The sequence below is a fragment of the Homo sapiens genome, chromosome 9 (genome assembly GCF_000001405.40).
Source record: "Homo sapiens chromosome 9, GRCh38.p14 Primary Assembly".
In the NCBI taxonomy this organism is placed as follows: domain Eukaryota; kingdom Metazoa; phylum Chordata; class Mammalia; order Primates; family Hominidae; genus Homo; species Homo sapiens.
Window position 1 is genome coordinate 6,967,837 of NC_000009.12, and position 24,006 is coordinate 6,991,842.

The window sequence follows — 24,006 nt, forward strand, 5'->3', positions numbered from 1 at the left end:
TACTGATGCCAAAAAGATATGAGGCTGTGTCTTTACCACTTGCATATTCTATGGCTTTTCATAAGTAAATGGTTCTTTGATTCCAACATTAGTAAAGTAGGGATATTAATAGTTTCTCATGGGATACGAAGATTAATTGAGACAATATCTATAATGACTGAATGAGAAAATGCTTTACATTTATCATTGTACCTGGTACTTAGTATGCACACAGTAAGTGGTAGATGTTTGCTATCACTATCAGCGTGAATTTTTAAAAATTATGATCTATTAATTATGTTTTAAAATTTTTCAAAAGTAAGAACTAAGATAGGCCTCCTTCACCTTATGAACTTAGAAAACTAAACATGAATGAACAATGCCCTGGGTGCACTCATGCCTATAATCCTAGCATTTTGGGAGGCTGAAGTGGGAGATTCACTTGAGATCAGGATTTTGAGACCAGCCTGGGTAACATAGTTCAGTCCCTGTCTCTACAAAAGTTATTTTTAATAAATGAAGAAATGCCATCAATTACTTGCCATTGAGGAAAGGAGACCAAGATTACCATTTATGTGTATGCTGGGTAGTTCTTGGTGAAGCAGTTTTTTATGCAGCCTCTGTTGTAGGAACTTTGTGTTCTGCTTAGTCAGGTCTTCTCAGAGAGAGGACGTCTGCTCTCTCTGATGTTGCTGTGGTTAAACAATAATTAAGTTAAACTGTTTCCACATATTTTATGGTTTCATAAAGAATGTAAAAGAAAAAGTAGTTGAATTCTGCCCTTCTGCGTTATAAGTTTACTTTGTTGGAACTGCTAGAATAATTCCAAAGTGAGGGTTCGTTGAAAATAGGCTTCCAAAAACCTTTGTAGTTCAATGCCAGTTACTTAACATTATCTTTGGACCTATGTTATTCATTTTCAGGTACTTCATAATTTTATATCTCTGTGGTTATTGGATGTCATATTTTTGACATTTTATTAAAATTACTGTTTGGATCTATGTATTAAAGTGAGATGGTATTTTATATTGGGCTTTTACAATAATCTGTTTTAGTTTGAGTGTTTAAAATTTTTATATTGGTTCTGGGATATTGGAATATGTAACTTCTGTTGGGTTAATTGTGTGTGTGTGTGTTTTGAGACAGAGTCTTGCTCTGTCACCCAAGCTGGAGTGCAGTGGCATGATATTGGCTCACTGCAACCTCCAACTCCTGGTTCAAATGATTCTTGTGCCTCGGCTTTCTGAGTACCTGGGACCACAGGCACGGATCACCACACCTGGCTAATTTTTGTATTTGTAGCAGAGATGGGGTTTCACCATATTGGCCAGGCTGGTCTCGAACTCCTGACCTCAAGTGATCTGCCTGCGTCTGCCTCCCAAAGTGCTGGGATTATAGGCTTGAGCCACCGTGCTCGGCCTGGGTTGTTAATTACTATTTTGATATTTATTTCTTAATGCTATAGAGCCAGAATTGCATTTTTATATGTATAAACTTTTCATATTAAGGCCTTTTTGTATGTTCTGATTGACATTTAAAATCTTGGCTGGTTTAAACAGCAATCTAAAAATCAAGCCTCCACATTAAGAACATAGGGTTTTTTTTATCTGCTGATAGGCTTGATATTCCAAGCATATTAACTGACTTGAATTGTTTTGAACACATGTAAAAATGGAAATGTAAACAGTCTCTTTTGGCAGATCCTTATATATACTGTTCCATTACTGATTGTCTTATTCGTTTAACTTTTACATCCGTGCCTGGATCACATCACATGACTGTCTTACCTGATAACGCATTCCATCCCATGCTGACTATCAAATCATTTTTTCATATGTCAAATACAAATTGTTACGCTCTGGTTTCAACCGTAGATGCATTTCCAGTCTGGAGGACCGTTTTTATTTAAAATTTTTTTTCTATGTTCAGAGGTGATTTTAACATTTCTTTTGAGTGTTATATACTTAGAGATTAATATTAAGTGCATCGATTCTGCCTAAGCTGGTCCTATGGGTAAACATTCTCTGGATGCAGGACTACCTACTTGACATTTCTTGTCATACTTTCTGCTCTGTTGATTTCTTTCTCAGGCAGTTGTTTCCCATGTTGTGGCAGAGATGACTGTTAGCTTCTGTAGGATAACAAGCTACCGACACATTCCCACTGTACCTCATTGGTGTTGCTTGGGCCATGTGCCCATCTCTGAACCAATCACTGTTGCCATTGGGGTGGAATGTTTGGCCAGTCTAGCTTCCCTAAATTACATGCCTGAGTTTGGGGGACAATCAAGGTGCTCTTTTTAGTCAGAAAGCATCCTAACGAAGAGAAATCTTAGGAACAAATCATGCGGTGCAATTTTGTCATTTAATTCAGCCACATCAGTTCCAGTAAAATTTTTTAAAAAGATTAAATAATGAGTAATGGTTTCTTATGAATAAAATAGCCCTGTTAAGTTTCCCAAAACTTAACCAGTGATGAACATTGAAAACTTTTTATACTTCTGCCCTCCCTCTTGTAGTTTACTTACTTATGAACCTTGGTCACTGTAATTGTACCTGTTGGGACACATTAGGCACCAAAATATTTGTAGAGTGAATGCTTCATAGCTGGTTACTGTGGACATATTGCTGTAGCACAAGTATTAAATTTGAACCAAAGATGGATGTAATTTAATATTTGATTAAAGTGCTGGACTTCCTGTTAGTTTTCTTTCCAATATACATTTCATAGAGAGGGGAAATTAGAGCTTGTGGTGGCATAGGCTTCATGATTTTGCACTGTGAAGGAAAGGCTTGTAATTTAGTCTTGGGCCAGAGATTATATGGATCAGGTGTGATAACTTTGTGGCTAAAATGACTTAGAATAGTTGAGAAGCCATTTTCAACTTATGTCCTGTTCTTGGACAAAGGGAAGGAGAAAGTATGAGCAGAATTGGTATGTGATAATTGTTTATTGCTATTTAAAAAACAGTATTCCCACCCCCCGCCCCTAACCCCCACCCCGGTCTCACCCCCAGGGTACCTCCTCTTAGGAACAACTCATGGAATGTAGGATGAACCAAAACCGAAATGATGCACTCATACACTAACCCCATCATTCCCTCGGCTCTACCGTCTTCTCCCTTTTAATTTGGTCTTTCAGACCCCATGAGGAAAGGGTTTTGCATTTTGATTTAATGGATAGCTGCTGCAGCTTATATTTATGCACTGGTGATGACAGCGCATTCCTTTTTTTTAAAAAGAAAAGATTTAAAAAAATTTTTGTGCCAGTGGATGGATTGTAATAGGCAGCCACATCTGAAGAAATAAGTGAAACTATAGCCATGTAGTGATTTCTTATTACACATATAGATGAGTAATCTTTGCTGTGATTATTATATAAGTTATACAAATGTGGAGCTTTTTTTTGGCTCTAGAAATATGGATGGATAGTTGGAATTGTTTTAAAGTGGTCTTTACTGCTTGGCAGAACATGGGGCTGATTTCAGCTGCATTTATGATTCCTTTTTGGATTTATTCCAGTTTGGATTTAAATATATTAAAAGTGCCTGTGAATATGAGGAAATGTAGATCATTAAAACTGCATTTATTATGTAGCCTGTTTTAAAATTTGGACTGATCAATGAATCTCTGTAGAGTAAAAATACACCTGATCGTACCAAATCACTTTCTAGATTTTATCAGCGGTCTGTGCCCCTCGGGTAGTCAAGGAATTCTTTTGTCCAGAGCTTGTTAATGATTCATTACATCAATGATGATTCTACATTTTATTTGAATTAACCAATTTCTTAACAAGTGTATGCATAGTTAGAAATCTGTATTGTAGTTTGTAGATGAATGTCATTTCCTGGGCAAAGAAAGCTCCTTAATATTTATGACATGTTTCATATTAATTAAGGCAGACTTCCCCCATGTAGTAATGCAATACTTTAAGGTTATCTAATCAAGGGTTCTACACAATGATCAGGTAATTTAATTTTAAAATAACTTACATAAATAGAAATGAGGGAAGTTATTGAATAATTCAAATATGGTGAGTCAACATTCGATTTTAATTTTCATTTTTGACTTGTTTCTAACATTGCTGGCATTACTCTAGTGGGCTAGCCATCATTCAACTAATATTTATGGAGCATATACTATGTAATGATGACAGATATTCAGTGGTAAAACAGACCTGATGCCTGTCTTCACCGAGTGTAGGTTTTAGTGTTGAAAACAACTGAGAACTAAAAAAATACACAAAATATGATTACACGTGGCAAGTGATTTGAAGGGAAAATAACAATGGGTACGAAATAAAACACCTTTGGTTTAAGATAAATATAGAAAGATCAAGAGAGTGAGAGATCAAGAGAGAGACCTTGATCTCTTACTCACTCCATCTATTTAGGGGGGAGCCATTTCCTATTTTGTGAAAATAGGGGTGTGTGTGTGTGTGTATATATATATACACACATATGTATATAAATATCTGTGTATGTGAAAATAGAAAAAGAAAACACACACACACCTATTTTCTCTACCTAATGGTAATGCATTTCCATATGATTATATTTTCTCCCATAAAATCAGTTTACATGGTTATACCATAATTTTTTAAAGGAGTATTAGAAAATTTTTTTCTAATTTTAAGATATTTGGTAAACACAGATGAGCTGTGCGTTGTTAAAATTAAGTTGGTGTATTAATTCAAAATTATCTGCTTAGGAAAATGCCACCAGTTGTGGTCATAGGTTATTCATATTTTAAAAGACTGTTAAATATTTTAAACATTCTGGTATGTGTTGCCAAATTGTTGCCATGCTTTATTCTTACCATGTCACAGACTGGTTTAATGCAGCTTTGTTTTGCTATTCATGAGTTTCATGTTAGGCAGCTAATGGTAACAGTCATGGGAGTTAGTTCTGCGTGTTGGATACCTGTTGGGTTTAAACTGATTTAAATCCAGTTCTTCTCATTTTGATTTATTAGAATAATAATGAATCTTCTTTCAAGAAATGTTTCCCCATATTCTTCCTGATTGATTATGTTTAAATTTGGCTAGAGAGAAATTGTAAGAACACTGAAATCCATTGTGTGTTTTTCTATCTTCTGTTTGCTTTTTTTCTGATTCGAGTTTAATACATCTGTCTTTTGTCCACTTTAAATCATTTCATGAAACTAATAACAGAGAAAATATAATAGTGGGGCCAGACATAGTCTCATACTTGAGAGGGAAGGCAGGGATTGCTAGGTAAAGTGAATCTGAGATGGTGAATTATTTACTTATAGTACTACTGTTTTTATGGAGAAGTTTGGCTGAAAAAGTATGTTTTGTCATTGAATTGTCAAACTTTTATTTCAAAAACATGAGTTGTTTTCATTTTCTTATTTAGTGTTAAATTTCTGCTGCTGCTTTTTTTCTCCCCAGATATGGGGTCTTGCTGTGTTGCCCAGGCTGCTCTTGAACTTCTGGCCTCAAGCAATCTTCCTGTGTCAGCCTTCCAAAGTGCTAGGATTACAGGCGTGAGCCCCACTGCACCCAGCCCCTGACCATATTGTTAACATTAGAAAATCAAATAGACTAAAAGCATTACTCTCTTGGTCTAGTTAGCTTTCTTTAGGTATTTTCCCACTTTAGAAACAATGTCAAAGAGTTTTCACGTGGCAGGAGACATGTAATCAGAGTACATGGAGTGCAGGTTATTGTTTTCGACATGGCTGCTAAATAAATCAAGGTTTCATTTTTTCCAGAGACTCACACTCAAAATTAGTATGACATATAGCATTTAAAAATATGGTAACCTAGAATTTATTTGAAAATTGTTATTTTTGTTTCTCTCAAGTGAGAGCACCCTTGATATACTATTTAGAGCTTCTATTCTGGGAATTTTATTATGCATGCATAGCTAGTTTTAAAATTTTTCTCCTTATTGATTTGTTAATCAATCCTCATCCCTTCCCTTCTTTTAAAACATTATTTCCTCATTAATATTTACCTACATTCATACTGCTGTTTGACTTGTGCAGAAAAGATGGAGGAGGACAGGAGATGCTGTGTTTATCTCATATTCAGCAGAAGTAGAAAAAGGTAAATGTCTTCAACATCGCTCAGATGGTACTTACTGTGGCCAGCATTGTGAAACCTGTGAGACAGCTAGTTCTGTATTCAGACCCTTCAATTACTCATTATGTTCCTGTGTACTCAGTGGTTACGAAATTGAAAAACCCAAAGAGGCTGGTGGGCAGGATACTGAATCTCACATCACTTAAACCCCCTTTTCCCCCAGTTACTATCCTTGTGACATCCAACAAGTCAGTTAGCATTTTTGTGCCTCAGTTTCTTATCCATAAATTAGGATATGATGATTCAAGTGGATGACTTACTTCCTAAGGTTCAGGATGCGTTCTAATTGTGTTAACTTCGTCATTGAAAAAGAAATACCTGAAAGACTCTCTAACAAGGAAATCAGTATACCTGAACATTTTAATAAAAACATTTTAGGAGAAGGATTATATATAACGTTATATTCAACAATATGCATCCATGCTATTTCTGTCTGCTTTTTTGTCTTTCTTTTGAGACGGAGTCTTACTCTGTCGTCCAGGCTGGAGTGCAGTTGTGCGACCGCGGCTCACTGCAACCTACGCCTCTTGGGTTCAAGCAGTTCTCCTGCCTGTTTCCCGAGTAGCTGAGATTACAGGCATGTGCCACCATGCCTGAGTAATTTTTGTATTTTTAGTAGAGACGGAGTTTCACCATGATGGCCAGGCTGGTCTCAAACTCCTGACCTCAGGTGCTCTGCCCGCTTCGGCCTCTGAAAGTGCTGGGATTCCAGGCGTGACCCACCGCACCCTGCCTGTCTGTTTTCATATGTGATCATATAGACTCATACAAATATTTATGTTTACAAGGAATTTAGATCTCTAAGAGTGTGCAGAGCCCTATTTTTATCTGATCTTCCTCAGATTTATCATCCATATAAACTGTGACATGGAGTGCATGAATTCAGAACAAAACAACTTTATCTACCCCCGAATACTAAAGAGTTCAATTTCATGCTGTTTTACATGGCACAGCAGGAGTGGATTGTTTAATATCTCTAACTCTGAACTTCCACAACCTTTCTATCAGATATTCAGGTAAGTGCTGAGAAGCAGAAATTCTAAAAATAATTTCTACTGAATCTTTTGGAGACCCCGGAGCAAACTATTTGAATCCATTCCCCTTCTTTTTGCATAGTTTTTCTTTGTCTATTTGAACAGTGCTCTCATGGGTCAGAAAGATTGAGTTTCTAGTCCCATACCTTAAATTGCTTTATAATTGCCTTACTTTATAAGGGAGACATATCCTGGCACAGTGAAGCCTGCAAATATTCCAGAGAAATTAATCTGAACCTATTAGAAGTGGGAGGAGGGAAAGAAACTTATTTTGGAAAATTGTTAGCTAGGCTGGTTAAACTCTATCAACACAGCATGATATCATGCATAGAAAGCAAATATAATGAGTCCCGGACATTTATTTGCAGCTACAATTTCAGTTTGGTTATGGGTCATAGATAAAGAAGATTGAGATGGAAAAATGTGGCCATTTAAATGATAAAGCATGTTGTATGTATTAAATGTGGTTTTGTTTTGGAATTTCCACAGTAGATTGGGTAAGAGTGTAGAAGTGCTAGATTTGAATCTAGCAAAGTCTCTGTTACTTATTAGGTATGTGACCTTGGACTAATTAATGTGAGTCCTCTGCGCCTGTCTCTGTTTCTTCATATATTTTTTTAAGGTTATTTAACAAACATTTTTAAGGGACTCTTATTCTCTAGGCACCTAGAATATACTTCTCTATAAGACAGACACTGTGTGTAGCTCATGGTTAAGTATAGAGTGGTGTAGGAAGGTCAGATGGGGCAAAGTATCTGAGATAATTCACTAATGGTTCATTAAAATTAGAATAAGAAATTCAGGGCCTGTGTGGTGGCTCACACCTGTAATCCCACCGCTTTGGGCGAGGTGGGTGGATCACCCGAGGTCAGGAGTTTGAGACCAGCTTGGCTAACATAGCAAAACCCCGTCTCTACTAAAAATACAAAAATTAGCCGAGCGTGGTGGCACATGCCTGTGATCCCAGCTACTCGGGAGGCTGAGGCAGGAGAATCGCTTCAACCAGGGAGGGAGAGGTTGCAGTGAGCCGAGATTGCGCCACTGTACTCCAGCCTGGGTGACAAAGTGAGACCTTGTCTCAAAAATAAAATAAAAAATCAGTTAGGGGATTATACCTTTTTTGTTTTTTGTTTTTGAGACTAACGTATCTGAACTTGCACAGATCTATGTGATTATGAGAGTGTAGTCTGAGGAGTTAGAATAAAATTATGTGTCAGGCCTAATTAATGATTTTGGCCCTGTTAGTTACCACCACCAGACATATTCTTGGTTAAATAAGAGGTTACTTTGATGCTAACACTTAGCAGTGCTTTGTTACTTCTTACTATAGAAATAATGAGCAATTATGAATTATGAAGTCATAATACAAGTTAGAAATAACTGTTAATAATAGATTCTTAATTCTTACTGTCTTCACTAACATTAGGGTTATTAGAAAACAATGAGATATAGAATGTCTTCCATTTGTCCATAATATTATATATATAGTACTATTCAGAGGGCAATTTGTATTAATAACATATAAACTGTTGGGTTCTTAAAGCCATTGAACATTTTGCATTTTAAAGTTTTATACACAGTCCCATGTTTTTATACCTTATATATTGGGGGATGTTAGGCACTTTCGCTTTGTGTTGGATAGAATATAGAACAGATGCCTTTTTCATGCTGTAGTTCTGATCTAATGTGATTTGATTGTGCCTCAAAGATAATTAGCTGATAGCCTTCAAGAGCAATAACATTTTTGGGAAAGGAGAGGCTAGAGTTTGATTTAAAAATTTAGGGTGTTTAAAACTAACTTTTGCTTTTTAAATTATCCATTCCCATTTCTTAAGGAAATAGCAATAAATATGTTGTTTGATTTTTTTTTTGGCATAAGTCATTTTTATCGGTAAATACATTTTTGGTGGCTACTGTAAAGGGCAGTATTTTAGATCTAAAGGATAAGATAGGACAGCATAGGTCTAGAGATATGATATCTACTCAGGCATCACCAGAAGACAACAATTTGTGTTTCATTTGGGCTTATTTGTTTTGAGACTGGATTATGAGATTAATTTTTGTATTTTTGGTAGAAACGGGGTTTTGACATGTTTCCCAGGCTGGTCTAGAACTCCTGGGATCAAGCCATCCACCTGCCTCGGCCTCCCAAAGTTCTGGGACTACAGGTTATAGCCATGTGCCTCGTGTCATTTGGACATATTTAAATCTTCAAAATAAGAGTTTGCCATCGGCTCCTCCCTTCTTTATGATTGTCCTGTTCAAAAATCTAATTGATCTTCTACATTGGGTTCTTTTCATAATTGTTGGAAAATTAGTAATTTTCTATGAAAGACAGTAATTCTTTTTAAATTTTAAATATTATCCTCTTTAGGTTATAATATGATATGTTCGAAATTCACTAGAGTTTTATTTTATGTAAGCAAGAAATCAACTTTTTCCCAGTATGTTCTGAAAGTTATTCTTCAATCCTGAGATTCAAGTGGATATTATTTCATGTCTCCCAAAACCACATACATGTTGCCATGTAATACCAAGCTCTTATGTTAAAAGGAGGCCTATTTTGTTTTTTAAATACAGTGGAGAATGAAGAAGTCACATAAGTCGAACCCCTGCCTCCATCTTATTTTACTTTACAGCATCCTACCTTGGACACCTGGGCAGTATTAATTCATGTTATGGACATTTCCTTTCATTAATGCCTGTCATCTGCTGGGCCTCCAGTTTCAGTTGTTTGCTCTAGATGTGAAGCCATGGAGTTGAGTCTGGTTGCAACATATGATCCAAACAGGAGCTTGATGTACACTGCTGTCACCTCTCCTGTGACAATGGCCCAGTCCTCTAGGGTTTTTTCAATCCCCCACAAGTCTGGGATTGCTCCTCCTGTTTGATTCTTCAGAACCACTATGCACTTACTTCCCCTTGACCCTTAAGACCATTTGTTAGATGCAGTATTCTGATTCTTATTTCTTTTGTTGCTTCCACTTTTTCAGTAAGGCAAAATAAGATAACACTAGAAACCTCAATGTTCTTGTGGTCAGGTTACCAAAAAGCAATTTGTATAAGCCATATTCGGCCTTTTAAAAATAGGCACTTATCTAGCATTTTCAGCAACATTCTACAAGAACAAAAAGTTTAATTCTATTGTCAGCCCCATGAGGATAGTTACCACTGTTACTCTCAGTTTTTCAGATGGAGAAACTGAGGCACAGAGAGGTTAAACAAGCTGTTCAAGATTTCATAGCTTGTCAGTGTTGAAGCTGGGGTTTGAATTTAGTCTTTTAAACACTATTTGCATTGTGGGTCTTACAGTTTCTCAGCAAATTGATATGATGTAATCTTTTTCACATCTTCCATTGCATAATAATTCCAAATAAACTTTAAAGGTGTAATCTTTTTATATTATCTTTTATACCATTACTGAGATTGTAATTGTTGGTGGGTTTAGGTTATTTAGAAAAATTTAGTATAGGTGGGTTTTCTGGTTGATTTAATCCTCAAGTAACAAATCTTACGACACATGGTGGCATGTTTCTGTACCTCCTGAAGGGTAGTTTGTTAGGGCTGTTGTAATAGCCCAGTGAGGTTCTGTCCACTCAGTCGTTCTGCATCTGTGGCTTGTCCTTGGAGTCATTCCTTTCTTTTTTTCTGTCTCTGTTCCTTTCAGTTCAGGCTGGCAGCATTTCTGCTGGTATAAAAGTCTCAAAATCCTTGTCAGTCTTCTGTGTAGTTCATGGACATCCAAGCATCAAGCAAGACAGTCCTGCACAGCTCTCTCCTGGATAACCACATTCTCTCTTCCTGGCTTCTGCTGACATGGTTGATTGGATCCACGAGTCACATACTTCATCTGTTTAGCAAGTTTGTCCAGCAGTACCATCCTCCAGTCTCGGAGCACACTCCTCTTTGACCATGGCTTATCTGCTGTTTCTGTTTAGGCTTCATAGCATCATCTGAGCAAACAAGATGAATATTAATAAGGTCAAAGGTTTTTTTTTCTGAGACACTTTCCTCAGAAATAGTGTTCTGTACCTCACCAGCTTATCTGCCCTAGGGATGTTGCAATTGTAATCATGATCAGGCCTAAATCAGCTCATTAAAGTGGGGAGCATCACTTTTGTTCACTGTTTATTTTTCTTTGTGAAGCAATATTAGTAACACTTTAAGAAAGTTTCTGGTTGTAAGTCCAAGCTTTTTTCCCCCTTTTGTCAAAAGATTACATCTTAATCCAAAATATCTTTCAATTTCTCAGGATCTTCATTTTCTTTATTCCAATGGCAAGATAATTATGCAAGGTAACTTAGAAACCTCATTATATGTAACCAATAATAGAAAGCAGTGGTGCAGATAAATAGTATTAGGTTCAGAGGAACAGTTGGGACAATTTATATTCAGAGCCGAGGATGAAGTTTTGCTGGATAGCCGGCTAGTATGCAGGAAGGTGGTGTGGTAGGAGGAAAATACTGAAGTAAATGAAGCATAAGGGGCATTTGGGCTCCCATGACTTGGGTTGAAGAGGAATATACATGTTGACTTGCTGTGGGAGAGAAACCTGAAAATCTCATTGGTGGAGTAAAGTCTTGGAGCCCTTAATGCCAGGCTCATAAATTTAGACCTTATTCTAGGTCTAAGAAAAGCAGGGTGATTACACCTTATTGAACTCAGGAATGAAAGATTGTAAGAGATTTGGGGGAGACGAAAGTAACAGCTATAACGATGGATTATTGTTAGGAGAGACTACAGGCAGGGAAATTAGCCTTGTTATGCTAGGATTCAAGGCCTGGCAGTGCAGCTGCAAGGATGCTGGCAGAAGGAATTGAGACAGGAGATGCCGTAAATGGAGACAAGGCTGAATTTTTAGGGGTGAAGACATAGGGAGTGTCTAGGAATGTGGACTATGTATGTAGGAGAATAGAAGAACTGTGGTATCATTTGGTAGCGACAGAGTGTGGTTTGAAGTTGAAGACATTAATTTTAGGTATTTTGAATGTAATGGCCATTAGGATGAGAACTCTGTGGTGGGAGTTTGGGTTTGGATATATTAAGACTTTGGAGTTAATTTGCATGGAGGTGATAATTGTATCACCAAGATATCTAAAGTCTTATTGTGTCAAAACTGTTCAGTCAGTCTGTTACCGGGTATGTTAGGGATTGTCAAGGTCTATCAGTTAAATCTTGGAGATTATTTATGCACCACCATTTGAATGATAACTTCCCTGTTGCGTAGTGCTGGCCTAGACCTGATAAAACTTTGTGTGAAGTCTTTATAGAAAACTTGCTTAATAAGATGTGACTGATAACTATGTATTCATGAGAATTAAAGGCATAGTAGATTCAAAATAATTTTTTCTTTGAACTTCTCACCTTTACCCCATGTCTTCATTTTAGTGGATATGTTTGTTGTTGTTGTTGATGGTATTGGATGTTGTATGTGATGTGATGTAGAAAAGGCTGTTCATTTGCTCCTAATTTTGGGTTACCTTATGAGAGTTCGTTAATAACCATAAATATAATAAAATATATCTTAGAGTAAATTTATCTCAACTCACTGGTTAAAGTATTCTAATCACACATTCATTGGGTTATTTTATTTGTTGACAACCCAGGTTTTCAGCTTTACAGACCTTTTAGCGCTCAGTTCATTGACACATCATTGTGATGGGCAAATAATCTTTCCATTGCAGGCGTGCTTCCAAATGAGCACTCTTTCCTTTTAGTTTTTCTTAGTACATAGTTCCCTGTGAGGTCCACAAACCATTATAACCACATTATAAATGTGAATATATAGATTCTCATCTCTATTCAGAAGAAATTGGGTTTATCACCCATTGAATGTTTGATAATGTAATGCATTATCCTCCATTATGTAGTGACTAAGTATTCATGGATGATGTGTTCAAGGACCAACTCTGTGTTACTGTATAGTTAGCGAAACGTTTAACACTCTCCAACCCGGTTGTGTTTCAGTGCACTTGCAGGAAAGACATGGTGAAGATTTCAATGGATATCTTTGTGAGGAAATTTCAGCCAGACAGATATCAGCTTTGGAAACAAGGAAAGGATATATACACCATTGATCACACGAAGCCTACTCCAGCATCCACCCCTGAAGTAAAAGCATGGCTGCAGAGGAGGAGGAAAGTAAGAAAAGCATCCCGAAGGTAATGACCCCTCACCCCACTGACCTGCCTTGCCTGTCGTGTTTTCTCAGTTAAAATGGGTCATTGGATGTGGCAATTTACTTGCTTTTTCTATTTATTCATCATAACTTAATACCTTTCTGAAAATGTGAGACATTATTTTTAATTCTTAGGTGTGTAATAAATACAATATAGGAAGAGATGTATATTTATTTTGTTTGAGAATATTCCTGAAGTTGCTCGACATGGCAAATAGAACAATATAGAACTTGTTAGACCACTTACATGAATGTGTTTTATGGTTGTATTATTCCTTTCTGTGCATTTCCATATTTTAATCAATAACTTGATTTTCCACTTTTTCATTTTGCCACCATTTTGCTTTTTGGCTTTAGTGGTTATCTTCTTCATTTGTCCAACATCTGAGCTACTGCTCTCTTCTGGATGCTTATATTTTACTACATTTTATGCACATGGTTTTATTCTTTTGTAAGATGTAAAACACAGCATATAGCATTTCTGTAACATGCTTATCCTTGTGAACTTTATTCTCCATTCCATCTTTGTGGCCAGGATCATTTCAAAAGCTTTTAGATGTGCTGTGGGCATCTTGTTGTTTTAAAACCTATTGAATAGGGTGTGTGTGGTGTTGCTCAGGTCCTTAGGCTACCTTTTAAGGGTCTTATGTTTTCCAATTTTATGTTAAATTTTCCTCTTCAATATTACTCATTGTTTTTCTTTCAGATTATAAAAGTAATATTTGTGCATTGGAGGAAATTTGTAAAATAAGGAAAAGAATAATGAAGGAATCCCATATCACTCATAACCTCACTATCCAGAGATAACCAGTATTAACATTTTGTATATATCCTTTACCTATATATTTATTATATATTTTATAATATTATATATCTTTCCAAAATTGGGGCCATGCTCTGTTAATAATCTGACAATCAGTTTTGAGTGTTTTTTTCATGTAACTGATTGATTTGCTGCAACATGATTTTTAATGCCTGCATGTATTTAATCCCCTGTAGCTTGTGTCCACTTTTTTGATATTAACTAAGTAACACCATAATTTTACATCTTTGCCCAGACTTATGATGCTTATTTTCTGTCTTTTTTTTTTCCCTGATATTTATTTTCTGCTTATTTAGAGTGGTAGTGAGTGGAAGAACCTTAGGAACATGGAGTCAAACTTCGGCATCTTATAAGAGGTAGACCTGAGGTGCAGAACTAACTCAGGTGTTGATATTTCCCCCTGTAGTTTACCGCAATGATCGTCAAAGTGTTTGTTAGTAGGTCAGGACCAACATTTTAAAATGAGGTGGTAAAATAGAATAAAAAGTATTATAGTGCTTCCTCTGTGGTAAGGGCAAATATTCACTCATGACATGTGTGAGTATGTGTGTATGTGTGTATATAGTGTCACTATCTGAAATATATAACTCACTGTGGGTTACATTCAAGAAAAGTTTGAGAAATACTAATTTGGACAGTCAGTGTCTTTGATAACTGTGTTAATTCACAGCACTAAAGAAGCCAGCGCTGGAAGGAGGCAGTATCCAATCCTGAGTTCAGAATACACACCAGGAGAACATCTTGAGCATTGTTCTGTCATGGATGGAAAACACAATATTTTCATTAGGTGTATGACTTGGTTTCCAGGTATTAACCACAGTGGGCCTTTTGGGTTGATAGAGAACATGGATTTATGACACTTGAACAGATCAAAATGCTTGTCAGTAGGTTCAAATAATCAATGGAACTTGCTCACCTACTTAGAAAGCCTGACTATGGGCTTGTTTAATATGCTCAGCCTTGTGGCTTGATATTTAGAGATTATTGATCTCCCTTTGGAAATAGCCCATTTAGGGAAGTCTGATGAAGGGAATGATTCATTGATGTCTCAAGCACATGTCAGCCTTCTTTTTTTCACATATACTACACTGTTTATAATGTTGAGATTTTCCCACATCAGCCAATGCATGGATTTGCAACAAAAGCAATGATGGTGATGATCATACTACTGCAGTTACTGCCATCAGTAGCAGTGAAAGCTAATTTATATAGGTTATCGCAGGCCACCCTATTCTCTGCCCTCCCTGACTTCCTACAGTGCTTAGTCCTGTGGTGGTTTCTTGTGTGTGTATAATACATATGGGTGTGTTTTGGACACTGTTGCTTTGAGTTGATTTGTAATTGTTCCTAATTGTTAGGAATGTTTGTTTCATATGTAAAAAGCATATATGCCAAAGCTATCAAGTGACCTGCTGGAAAATACTCAGGAAGAAGATAAAAATTGTGTTCACTCTGAAAATAGTATGTTGATGTACGATGTTAAATACATAAAATTAGGCTGAATGTGGTGGCTCATGCCTGTTATCCCAGCACTTTGGGAGGCAGTGGGGGAGGATCACTTGAGGCCAGGAGTTCTAGACCACCCGGGACAATATAGTGAGACAGTGTCTTTATGACACACACACACACACACACACACACACACACACACACACCAGTTAGCCTGTGTCTGTTTTAAATCCTTTCGCTATTGATGAATTGGCATTTAATTTGAACTATTTTCATACATACCTGACAATTATACAAAACTCAATGAAAAGTAGTCAGTAGTTTACCTTGAAATATAAAAAATTTACTTTTAGCACTAGCCTAACAGGATATTCTGATTTTTATTTATTTTCTTCATTTTCTAAATATTTTATTTATTGATTTTATTTCTGTCTCATTTCAACATTTTTTACTTTATTTTTATTTTCAGACTTTTAAAATGTTGTCACAAAATTTTAGGAATGGCCCTTTTTCAAAATAATGTTTAATAATTATTTACAGTTGTGTGAATTTTAAAGTTTTATTGATTGATAAGAAAATTGTGTTTAAGATTTTGATTTCAAATTTAATCATTCAGTTGTGAACATTGACTTGGCATAGTGATTAACAATGTCAGTTGTTTCCTTCTTTAAGCAAGTGAAAATGACATTTATATTGGGATGTGTTTTTCATATCCATTGCAGACATCCCGCTCTGACCACTGCTTCTCTTGTTGACAGCTTCCAGTGTGCTAGGTCTACCTCTAAAAGGCCTAAGGCTGATGAGGAAGAGGAAGTGTCAGATGAAGTCGATGGGGCAGAGGTCCCTAACCCCGACTCAGTCACAGATGACCTCAAGGTCAGTGAAAAGTCAGAAGCAGCAGTGAAGCTGAGGAACACAGAAGCATCTTCAGAAGAAGAGTCATCTGCTAGCAGGATGCAGGTGGAGCAGAATTTATCAGATCATATCAAACTCTCAGGTGAGAAGATGGTTGATTAGGTTTCACATATAAGTAGTAGGTGGTTGATGATCAGATGTCTTAAATGGATGTTCACTATGACAAGTATCTGACTAGTCCACATAGCTTAATCAGTAATCTACCAAAGTCATGGGTAACTCAACCAATAGTCCCAGGGAATATTGTAAAAGTCAGGAGCCTCACTGCTATGTGTAGCAGAATTGTGAGACAAGCAGTCAGCAGTGCCTATTTGGTTTAATAAAAAAGAAGATTCTAAAATGAGTTTTTTTTTTTTCGTGCAACTCAATTTACAATATACGTTTTTGGAAGGCTTCTTTTGAATTCACATGAGTAGAGAAAACCAATTATAGATAATTCTTTGTAGATTCTTAGCTTTCGACTTAAGAAGAAAATAAAGATCAAGGTTTTAAGAACAACAATAATGAAAAGTCAACCTAGTGAAATGACATGTATAGTCCCCTTGCTTCTCTTTTGTACTAAAGCCATTGTCTGAAAATCTCAGCTACTTTGCCTTTTCTCCCTTTGGTAGCATATTTTTCTGAAACTGCTTTAGTGATTTGCCTCTTTCATATTTGTTGGAGTTTTTGTATTGTAATAAGCTAATTCCTGTGTTCCTCTCATACTTCTCATCCTGTAAATCCTTCCTCATGGGATTCCCCCCTCCGCCAGAATCCGACTCCCTCTGCTGCTTCCTCCTCACTCATGGCACCATAGCTGTTGCCTGGATGACTGCAGCAATTGCTTCCTTCTTATTCAGGAATGTCAGCTGTAGTCACCCCCGCTAGTCAGTTCTCCAGGTGGCCATTAGAGTGATCCTTTAAAAGAAAAAAAGCTTAGGTCTTGTGACTACCTTCTTCTTAGTATTATTCCACCTATAATAAAAGAAAAAGTCTTCACATAGTCCTAAACTGGTCCTCAGCTGCTACTCCAGCCTCATTGCCTTTGCTCTTGAAATAGCTGTGTGGATAGAGTTTAAACCACAGAACTTTTAAAAAATGAGTTCATGTTTTAGTGGAGAGCTAGGCAAATAACCACATAATTACAATCCAATGTGGTAAGTAGCATTATAGAGATTGCATAGGATGTTGCTGGTTTACCAAGGAAGGACTTCAAACACACAAGAGCTGGATAGCCAAGGTTTCTTGGCAAAGGTGATATCTGAATTGAGTTTTGATGAATGGATATAAGATAGCAAGGCAGAGAAGGTAGGGAAGGGAATTACAACAAATGCAGAATAGAGAGTTAGGCAATACATATGGATATTTCACTATAGTCCCTTTTTTTAAAATTTTTAAATTTTTTTTGAGACAGAGTCTCTCTCTGTCGCCCAGGCTGGAGTGCCGTGGCACAATCATAGCTCCCTGCAACCTCTGCCTCTCAGGTTCAAGCGATTTTTTTGCCTCAGCCTCCTGAGTATCTGGGACTAAAGGTGTGCACCACTATGCCTAACTAATTTTTATATTTTTAGTAGAGCTGGGGTTTCGCCGTGTTGGCCAGGCTGATCTTGAACTTCTGGCCTCAAGTGATCCACCTGCCTTGGCCTCCCAAAGTGCTGGGATTACACACGTGAGCCACCGTGCCCGGCTCCTCATCATGCTTTCTCTTACACTGTGTTTAATTAGCCAGTTTATGAATTGCTGGATGGTTTTGCCTAAGGGCCCTGAATTTCATTAGTTCTGTCACTACATGGTTCTTTGCACATTGATCTCCAGATTTTGAGCCCTGGCATAATACTTGAGTAGAAGAACTGGGTTGTTCAGTATCAGAGCTAGTATGTGATGGGTACAAATGAGGTTTGTTTTGTGTGTGTGCATGTATGTGCATGCGCATGCGTGTGTATGTGTGTGTAAGATACAGAATCATTTGGGAATAGTTTACCAATTCTACTTAGTAGTAATACAGTGCATGATTTATTAACAGTCTTCTGTTTTATCCTCAGGAAACAGCTGCTTAAGTACATCTGTAACAGAAGACATAAAAACTGAGGATGACAAAGCTTATGCATATAGAAGTGTACCTTCTATATCCAGTGAGGCTGATGATTCCATTCCATTGTCTAGTGGCTATGAGAAGCCCGAGAAATCAGACCCATCCGAGCTTTCATGGCCAAAGTCACCTGAGTCATGCTCATCAGTGGCAGAGAGTAATGGTGTGTTAACAGAGGGAGAAGAGAGTGATGTGGAGAGCCATGGGAATGGCCTTGAACCTGGGGAAATCCCAGCGGTCCCCAGTGGAGAGAGAAATAGCTTCAAAGTCCCCAGTGTATGTGGCAATATCCATTTTTTACCATATTCATTATATGGTGAGAGCACATTTTGAAAACAACATGCTGTGCACTGAAATCCTCCTTTAGGGCACAGATAAATAACATTTTACATTTATGGGTCTTAATCATATTCATTCAATAACTGGGAGGTAAGCCTCCTGTGAGCTGTGGCTCACATAGTGATAATTTAGCACATGGAGCTTATGGCCACGTGTCGATGCTTGATTTTCTTTTTTTTGTTAAAAAATTAAACTCTTTACTTTGAGGTAATTGTAGACTCGTATGCAGTTGTGGGAAATAGTGCACAGTGATTCTTTGTACCCTTTACTCAGTTTCTCCCAATGCTACCATCTTAGAAAACTATAGTACAAAGTCACAATCATATCGACATTGATACAGTAAAGATTACAGAATTGTTCTGTCACCTGCAGAAGAATTCATCTGCTGGGCACTGATCACTTTCTGCCAATAGTTAATACCTCCTGGTCCCAGCCTTCCCACAGCTTCTATTTCAGTGTCAGGACTCACGTGGTCATGCTTTCTTCTTACTCTTTCCTCATGGACCCTGAATCTCAGGACCAGGGTGACCTTTCTTGTCCTGCCCCCTCCTCGAAAGAGGCCCTTTGCCTCTGAGAAAAGACTCCTCTATATTATTTAGCTTCCCATTGTGACTTTTTGGAAAATTGTACAATATTGTCCTTGTACAGTATTAATATTCCATATTCAGTAGAAACTGTCCATGTAGCCATAAGAGTGGATCAGGGGAGCTAGGACTGTCTGTAGCGATTGTCAGAATTCAGTACTTTTTTTTGATGTATCCAGCCTGATTAGGGAATTCAGGTGGATCAGGAAGGAGTAATTGTTTGAGCTGATAGGTTGCGCTGGCTGCAGAACAGACACTGCTCCTGCTGGTTTCAACTCAAAATAGATCCTTGTGTCCCTGAGTAGGAGCAAGGGAGGTTGTATAAGGACAGCAGCTTTGAATACCTTGCGTCTTATCAGTCTTAAAATGTTAATTAAAATATACTTTTCTGATTTGACCCAATAGTGTTTATCTTTTTATGTAGAATTGTATATCTCATTGAATTATAAACACATCAAAAATATGAAAGATAAAAAAAATATGGTCTGGTTTCTTTGAAAAGGTGCCTAAGAGTAGTTTGAAAATAGCATTCACATACTAATAAGCAAAATTTACAACTTTGGCCAAATGTGGTGGCTTATTTCTGTAATCCCTGCACTTTGAGAGACTGTGGTGGGAGGATCCCCTCGAGCCCAGAGGTTCGAGATGAGCCTGGACAACATGGTCACACCCTGTGTCTACAAAAAAAAAATAAAAAAAAATTTAGTGGTGTGTGCCTGTGGTCCTAGCTACTAGGGAGGCTAAGGTAGGAGGATCACTCGAGCTCAGGAATTCAAGGCTGCAGTGAGCTGTGATCCCACCACTGCACTCTAGCCTGGGTGACAGAGTGAGAGACCCTGTCTCTTAAAAAAAAAAAAAAAAAAAAAAAAAAGGAAAAAAAATTTGCAACTTAATTTCATGAATGGCTTAAATGTAGCCAAGCAGATATTCATTCTTTGGACAGGTGACTGAGTCAAATGCCTGCTTTAGTTATTTTTAGCGACCTTCTTTAAAGTAGAATGGAGCTGAAAGTAATTCTCAGATTTCTTTGCTCTCAAGGAAGGTGATTATAGATCTAGTGCTGTTTATCTTCATCTTTATCATTTCCCCAAGCAAAGACTGACAGTAGAGAAACCAACATTGCTATTGAAGGCTGAGAGGCTTGGCTTGCCTGTAAGAACAACTGCATGACATCCTTTTCTTACACCATGGTGTTGGATAACTCCTAGATGTAATACAGCCCCACTTAATTTTTGTGTAGTTTTGGTCAGTTTTTTTTAGTATTCAGTGTAATGCTATGTGTATGCTGATAGCTGCTGGCATTAGCTGATCTACTCAATAAGTATTATGTTATTTTTTAAAGCCATCCATCCATCCATCCATCCATCCATCCATCCATCCATCCATCCATCCATTCATCTTGGGCTCAAAGCTGTACCTGGAACACACCGAGTATGTTCTCACTTTACGTGCTATTCTTGCTCCCCCAGATGCTCCTCCCCCAGATAATCATATGTATGCACTCAAAGTTCCCCTCAAGTATCACTGTATCAGAAAGGCCTTCTCTGATTACCCTATAAAACTGCCCCCTCCCCATCACTTTCTATTCCTTTGTCCTTCTTTATTTTCCTTCGTTACATATTTACCGAGTAGTATTTGATAAATACGACTTATTCATTTATTATGTATTCCCTTACCCCTCTATAATCTACACTTCTTGAGAGCAGAAACCTGATGTAATTTTTCCTGCTATAGCTCCAGCTATGACAACGGTATGGTGCATAGTAGTGTGTTGATATGTCTTCTTGGCTGTGTTATAATTTCCCATATTGTTTTTTAGCTATTATAAACATAGATAGCTGTCATCGTATATTGCATTTGTCATTCTTTTCTTATTCCTAGCTTTGATTACAATGGTCTTACACATTTTCTTAGAATCATGTGTTGGAGTCAGAGGCCAGAGTAGTTTCCCTATATCTGGCCACTGCTTCTTCAGCTTACCGGGAAGAAGACTAAGATTGTTTTCTTTCATAGTCAACTCTTGATGTAAGCTTGCTGGGTTCAAACTCTCTCTGATATCCTCTTTCCCTTCCCCCTGCCTTTAAAAATTTTGCGTTGTGCGAGCAAGAGAGCTTAAAAGGTGGGTCCTAGCTGGAAGGTGTAAGGATACACATGACTTTCTACCCGGGAAAGGAATATATAGTCTGTAAATCCCAGGACAAAAAAATCATTGGTAAAATTTAAGTGGTTTCAACATGGCATTAATGTATCATTAAAAAAAGAGAATACTTTTGGTTTCTTGTTTAATTGTTATTTATGTGATCTAGAAGTGGTGATTCATTTCTGAATGGAAAGAAGTGTTGCAGTATTGTCTTCTCTGTGAGGATAGAAAATAAAATTCCTTGCTAAATGTTAACATGGGAACATCTTAGAGGTGACCAAGAGCCACAGTCCTGTATTTTTATGAGAATGCAATCTTAGATTTACTTATTTATTTTTGGCGACAGGGTCTTGCCCTGTCACCCAGGCTGTTGTGCAGTGGCTTGATCTTGGCTCATTGCAGCCTCCACCTCCTGGGCTCAAGGGATCCTCCCACCTTAGCCTCCTGAGGACCTGGGACCACAGGCATATGCCTCTATACCTGGCTATTTTTTTTTTTTTAAATTATTGACACAGAGTCTCCCTATGTTGCCCAGGCTAGTCTCAAGCTCCTGGGCTCAAGGGATCCCTTCACCTTGGCCTCCCAAAATGCTGAGATTACAGGCATGAGCCACTGTGCCTGGCCTATAATCCTAAATTTACATTAGTTGTAAGAACTTTAGAAAACTTGTTAACTGCTGAGCTTATTGCAGGTTTAATAAGCCTACCCTGCCCTACAGCTTGTATTTTAATACAAAGTGGAAGAAGAATTAATTGACCTCTGGCTAAAATTACTAATAGAATTGATTCCTATTTCTTTTGACCTTAAGTTTAAATTTCTTAAAGGACTAGTTCCCCAAGAGGTAAACAACCACAAGATTTCTTCAACATTAAGTGATAAATAATTGTGAACTGTAGGGTTTTTTTTTTTTGTAGTTTGTTTTTGATAATGGTATTTCTCCACCATTTTTGTTCTATAACTAGATAGCAGAGGGAGAGAACAAAACCTCTAAGAGTTGGCGCCATCCACTTAGCAGGCCTCCAGCAAGATCTCCGATGACTCTTGTGAAGCAGCAGGCGCCAAGTGATGAAGGTGAGATGGTGACCCTTTTTGGGATTTTTTTTTTTTTTTTTGGTGTGTAAAACAAACTATTGTAAAAAAAATTGCTGAATAGAAAAAAAATTCAACAAGTAGCAAATACGTACTATTAGGAGATCATACATAATAAATAATTTACAGGTAAAAGGAATTTGGAACTTAGAGGTAAAGACGTACTTCATATAAGCTAGCCTTATTACTGGTAAAAGTCTTCCAGTTTTATGTCATGGGGTAAAATCAGTCAGCCTTGACATGTTTTAGGGTTCTACAGAAGAAGCTGAGACTCATTTCTCTAAAGGTGTTAGATTTTAGAGTTAACGTGCTGTAGGTTTCTTTACATTGTCTTTACTTTTAACTTCAACTCTTTACATTAATTTAACCACCTTCAGTAAAAGTCTATGTGCCATATCCTTTTCCATATCCTTTTGTAACTGGTGTGGGGTGAAACATCCTTTTTCCTTCACTAGATCGCTGTGATGCAGCTGGATGTAACGCAGTTTCATTTACAATCATTTACCATTCCTAGATGTAAATTTATCTTTTTCCCCCTTTTGTTCTTTTTTCAAGACAGGGTCTCGCTCTGTTATTCATGCTGGAGTGCAGTGGAGGGTGATCACGGCTCACTGCAGCCTCAACCTCCCAGGCCTAAGTGATCCTCCTACCTCAGCCTCCCAAGCAGCTGGGACCACAAGCATGCACCATCATGCTTGGTTAATTTAAAAAAAAAATTTTTTTTTGTAGAGATGGGTTTTGCTATTGCCCAGGCTAGTCTTGAACTCCTGAGCTCAAGCATTTCTCCTGCCTCAGCCCCGCAAAGTGCTGAGATTATAAGCATTAGCCACTGCATGCCTGGTTACCCTTCTCACCTTTCTTTTATAAAAAAGAAATTTTTGTTGCCTCAAATTAAAAATCAGATCCCTGATTCGTAAGTGTCTTGTATATGTCTCCTAGCATCATGAAGGCCTTATTTTTTCTGTGTTTAGAGGATTAATTCAGGCAGGTTTTCTGTTAAGAGTCCTTCTCTGAAGTATTCTCCAGTTTTACTTATGGAAATTATTACCTAAGGTCATGTGTCTGTGAGAATACTGTTAAGTGAGTAACAAGAAGCTCAAGTTTCTTGTTTAAATAAATTTATCAGAGTAGGTAGATATCTTTCACAGATTTTTTCCCCCTTTCACTCACTTTTCACTTATGTCCCATGTTTAGTTAGAAAACAAGATCATGGCAGGGCATAGTGGCTGACTCCTGCAGTCCCAGCTGCCTGGGAAGCAGAGGTGGGAGCATTGCTTGAGCTCAGGAGTTTAAGACCAGC

General features: G+C 37.5%; 1 protein-coding gene across 22 annotated transcripts in view; it reads left to right on the forward strand.

Moving 5' to 3' along the window:
• KDM4C (lysine demethylase 4C) overlaps window positions 1-24,006 on the forward strand; it is a 454,786-nt gene that overhangs the window by 246,974 nt on the left and 183,806 nt on the right. For 14 of the 22 annotated variants that reach the window (NR_148677.3, NR_148678.3, XR_001746255.3 and 11 more), the window contains 4 exons: window positions 13,089-13,282; window positions 16,330-16,568; window positions 18,508-18,830; window positions 22,580-22,688. Coding sequence is in view for 16 of the 22 variants with exons in the window: in NM_001146696.2 (NP_001140168.1) it covers window positions 13,089-13,282; window positions 16,330-16,568; window positions 18,508-18,830; window positions 22,580-22,688 (865 nt within the window). In the remaining 6 variants the exon portion in view is untranslated. Of the gene's footprint in view, window positions 1-6,977; window positions 7,104-13,088; window positions 13,283-14,005; window positions 14,930-16,329; window positions 16,569-18,488; window positions 18,831-22,579; window positions 22,689-24,006 lie in introns of those variants that run through there. The other 8 variants (NR_148680.3, NR_148679.3, NM_001353999.3 and 5 more) reach the window with 5 other exon arrangements.